General features: G+C 38.1%; 1 annotated feature.

Moving 5' to 3' along the window:
* Positions 3,021 to 4,220: an enhancer, noted in NCBI's record as "P300/CBP strongly-dependent group 1 enhancer chr12:5008995-5010194 (GRCh37/hg19 assembly coordinates)". NCBI's record gives its function as "activates an origin of replication core promoter dependent on BRD2, BRD4, P300/CBP, MED14 and CDK7 cofactors, with strong dependence on P300/CBP, by STARR-seq in HCT116 cells {active_cell/tissue: HCT116}" and the evidence as "EXISTENCE:reporter gene assay evidence [ECO:0000049][PMID:35650434]".

The following is a 4,669-nucleotide window of genomic DNA, read 5'->3' as shown; positions in this document are numbered from 1 at the left end:
TCCCCATCTCCTAACCTCGTGATCCACCCACCTCAGCCTCCCAGAGTGCTGGGATTACAGGCGTGAGTCACCGCGCCCAGCCAAAAGCCTAAGTTCTTAAATCAGAGATGAATTCTAATTCAATCACTTTGATCTTGGATAAGTCACTCTATCACTTTACATGTTCATCTCTTTATTTGTAAAATATAATCCCTATATCATAGGCTCCTGGGAGGGCATAACACAATCAAATACTGATCAGTGCCCAACATAGAGCTGATGGCCAACAAAGTATCAGCTTCAAAAGAAAAAGGCACCAAAAAGGTCAGGAAACATTACATTAGACAGGTCTTTAATAAATATTTACTGAGAGAAAACAGTCAATAAATACTAAAGAATCAGAGAAAAGAACAAATGCTACCTCTACCATCAAGAATCCTTACAGCTAACTTCAACATTCAGTCATATCAGTATAATGAGTACAGGACTTTTCCATCATAAAGTAAAATACATATGTGGGGCAGCACTGAGCAATAGGCAGGACAGGATGGCGACCTTTTAGAAAAGGGAAACAAACGAGGTGATCCCTGTGATCACCTTGGCTCTTTGCCTGGAGGTACTTTTCAGAAGCTATGCAGAAGGATGAGACCCAAGCAGAGTCTGATGTTCTCACTCAGACAGAATTTTAAATTGAGAAGGGTGAGATGACTGAAAGTCATGAGACAAAGCACCGGAGAAGAAGGAGATACATAGAGAAAAAGCAGCAGAAATCTGCATAGAGTCCCCTTTGAGTCTGTTGCTGAACACTAAACTGTGCATGGGTGAGGTAAACTCTACACAACTCTATGAAGCTGAGTTTGTTTAATATTAAAAAATTAGTCAATGCAATTCACTCAATTCAGAGAATCATAGGAGATTCAAAATTGATTCAGAAGAGCTATTTGACAAAATTCAACACCCATTTATAATTAAAACAAAACAAGCCTTTTGGCACACAGAGTAGAGGGAATTTCTTTAATCTGATAAATGGCGTACACACACACACACACACACACACACAAAAAAAAAAAACCTACAGCAAACATCATATTTAATTGTAAAAAAGCTGAATACTTTCCTCCTAGGACTGAGAACAAGGCAAGGATATGCACTCTTATCATTTCTACTCAACATCATATTAGAGACCTAGCCAATGCAATAAAGCAATACCAAGAAATAAAAAATATATATTGGAAATAAAGAAGGAAAGCTGTCATTATTTATAGACAGCATGATGATTGTGTATATGGAAAATCCTAGGGAATCTACAAAAAGCCACTAGAATACAAGTGAATTTATGAAGGATACCAGTTGAGTATTTAAAAATCAGTCACATATCTAGCATTTAAAATAATAAAAAACATAAAATACTTAGATTAATATAATAAAATATGTTATATGTGAGACCTATGCATGGGAAACTACAAAATACTGTTGAGATAAATTAGAGAAGACATGAATAAATGGAAAGATATACCATGATCATGGATTGGAAGGCTCAATACTAAGATGATATCAATTGTCCCCAAATATCTAAAGATTCAAGATAATCAAAATACCATCAGACTTATTCACAGAAATTGATTCTAAAATCAAACTGATTCTAAAATGTATTTCAAAAACTACAGGGGACCTACAATAGCTAAAAGATGTTTTAAAAGGAACTAGGTTATAGGACTTACTCTACCTCATTTTAAGTCTTACTTTAAAGCTACAATAATCCAGATGGTGTAGTATTGGTATAAGGGGAGACACATAGATCCATAAAACAGAATACTCTAGAAATAGACCCATTAATATATGGTCAATTGATTTTCAAAAAAGATGTCAAGGTAATGGAGAAAAGACAGTCTTCTCAACAAATGGACCTAGAACAACTGGACATTCATAAACCTTCACACCCATCTCACATGCTATACAAAAATTACTCAAAATGGATCACCATCTAAATATAAAAGCTAAAGCTATGTGACTTTTAGAAGAAAACACAAGAGAAAATTTTTATAATTTAGAACACAAACGCACCATAAAATAAAAAGTTAAGACAATGAACTTTATGAAAACTTAAAATTTATGTACTTCAAAAGACAGGGTTAAGAAGGTGAAAAAGACAAGCCTCCCATAGACTGGGAGAAAATATTCATAATACATATGTCGAACAAAGAACTCATATTGAGACAAATAAGTAGCTCTTACAACTAAACAAGCAGAAGACAGACGACACAATAAAAAATGAGCTAAAGATTTGAATTGATACAAAAGAACACATACTGTATGATTCTATTTATATGAGATTCTAGACGAAGCAAACACAGATCAGTGGTTCCTGGGTATCAGGGATGAGGGGATTGACTGGAAAAGGGCATGAGAGAATTGTAGGGGTTTCATATCTTGATTGTGGTAGCAGTTACATGGACATCTAATTTAGCCAAAACTCATATAATTGTACACTTAAGGTGGTTACATTTTGTTGTGTGTAAATTATACCTAAGTAACATTTATTTTAATTATGCCTTGTCAAATAAATAATATTGAAGTGTGTATAGCTGACAGAAGTTTAGAAATAAGAATTTTTCAAGAGCTTGACCTGTGATTTCTTAAAGAAACTCCTCTGGGTTGCCCTTCAAAAGAGGAGTATATGTAGTAGGAAGGACTGGCAGAATATTTTGCCTTAGTAGGACTACTTGGACAGGCTCAGATCTTGGGGGAGTATGCACTTAGAAATTCACTAAAAAAAAAATTATGGAACACCTGCTATGCCTCAATTATTTTGTAATACATCAGAGGCCAAGATAGAAATCATATCCTCAAGGTCATATTCTAGTTGTGAAGACAAGGAAATAAACAGGTAATTACAAGGCAACATGACAAACACTTTAATGGGACAGGCAGAGGTGTGTTGGGACTATAGAAGAGTGGCCCCTAACCAAGCCTTAGGAGTGAGGGAGCAATTCTCAGGGTAAGCAACAAGGTAACATATAAGATGAATCCCAAAAGATGAGTAGACAATGAGGTATGGACGTGGGAGTGTCTTCTAGAACAAAGGCAGCAGCACACTTTAAGGTCTTAGATACACAAGTGAGTGAATAAAATGCTCAGAAAAACAGAGCTTAGGTCAGTAGAGCTGCAAGGTCAAGTACAAAGAGGTGAGTGGCAAAAGATAAGGTCAGAGAAGTGGCAGGAGCCAGGTCATGAAGCCTCTTGTTTGTTGCTATAGTGGATCCTGTTGGGTTCCTCCTGACCTTCCAATCTTCCCTGTTATCTCCCTGAGAACTGCCTTCTACCTAGCCATGTGCCAGAAGAGAAGCCCACTGCTCCAGGGTATCTCACGCAGGAACTGGCCTGAGACGCAGTTCTAGCTTAGGAGATATGAGAGGATTTCTTCTGGATGTCTTCAGGGAGAGGCTTCCTCAGTGATAGGAAAACACTATAGAAAGACTGCTTTCCTTTCGTCATCTAAATGCCATGTCTGGATGAGTCATTGCTATATCCATGCTGTTACCAGGCCAAATGATTAAGCCAACAGTGAAGATGTCATAGGAGAGGGAGACAAAAACCCTGGAATCTGGCAACAGCGTTAGGCTTCTGAATCAACCAGTCATGAAGCCTTCTTCTCGTGGAACTTCCTGTTACAAAATTCAATAACTTTCCTCATTCTCAAGTTAGAGTTGAGTTTGCTCATTAAATTTCATTAAAGAACTTCTCATTAAAAATTTTAAACAGACTTCCAACACATTATGGATAAACGATTCAGATGTAGGGCCTTATGTCAGAACTTTTTTCTGATTATAGACATGAAAAATGTGACCCAAAATGGCTTACACAAGAAAAAGGGACTTACTGGATAAGAAAACTGAGCATTTTTAAAATAGGTTTGGAGCTTCAGGAAAGGCTTTCGCCAGCACTTAAGTCTATGACCATGACCTATTTTTTTTCCTTCTGCATTTCTCCATCCATCCAGGCCTCCAGACTGACTCTACTCTCCAGCAGACCTCTTGTGTGAGTTCCCAAGATGGCTGCAGCACTCCTGAGGCTATATCCCTCATGTCTAGCAGGAAATAAGTCCACTTCTCTGATGGTTCAAAAAAGAGTTTCAGAATTGAGTCTCAGTGACTCTGATTGCCCTGCCTTGCATTATTTACTCATCCTTGAGCCAATCACTGCAGCCGGGAAGATGGGATGTGCTGACTGGATTAAAGAAATCAGGACCCTTTCCTAGAGATGGAATGTGGTCAATCTCACCCAAACCGTGAGGTTGGAGATTTCAGAGCAGTGTTAAAAAGGACAAGGGAGGACTGCACAGTAGGGAGTTGATTAACAAGTATCCAGAGAAGCAGGGGACAGACAGAGTTAGGAGTGGCTCCCAGGTCTTTGGCCTGAACATCTTAGACAGAAACGTACAAAGAGAAGGGAGCACTTCAGGGAGATCAGTTAGAATAAGAAATATAGTGAGACGTAGCCACCAACTGGCCATTGATTGTCTTGCATTGAAGCAGCAGTTTCAGTGAAGTAGTGGGAACAGATACCAGGTTGCAGTAGGAAAGGAATCAATGAAGGGAGCAGGTAATGTTAGGGAAACTCCGCATTCTTCGAAGAGATTTAAAACTAGAGGACAGGAGAGAGATAGAAGTAATAGTTAAAGGGGTCCCTG

The sequence above is a fragment of the Homo sapiens genome, chromosome 12 (assembly GCF_000001405.40).
Source record: "Homo sapiens chromosome 12, GRCh38.p14 Primary Assembly".
NCBI classification, from domain to species: domain Eukaryota; kingdom Metazoa; phylum Chordata; class Mammalia; order Primates; family Hominidae; genus Homo; species Homo sapiens.
This window is presented reverse-complemented; position numbering and strand designations above follow the sequence as displayed.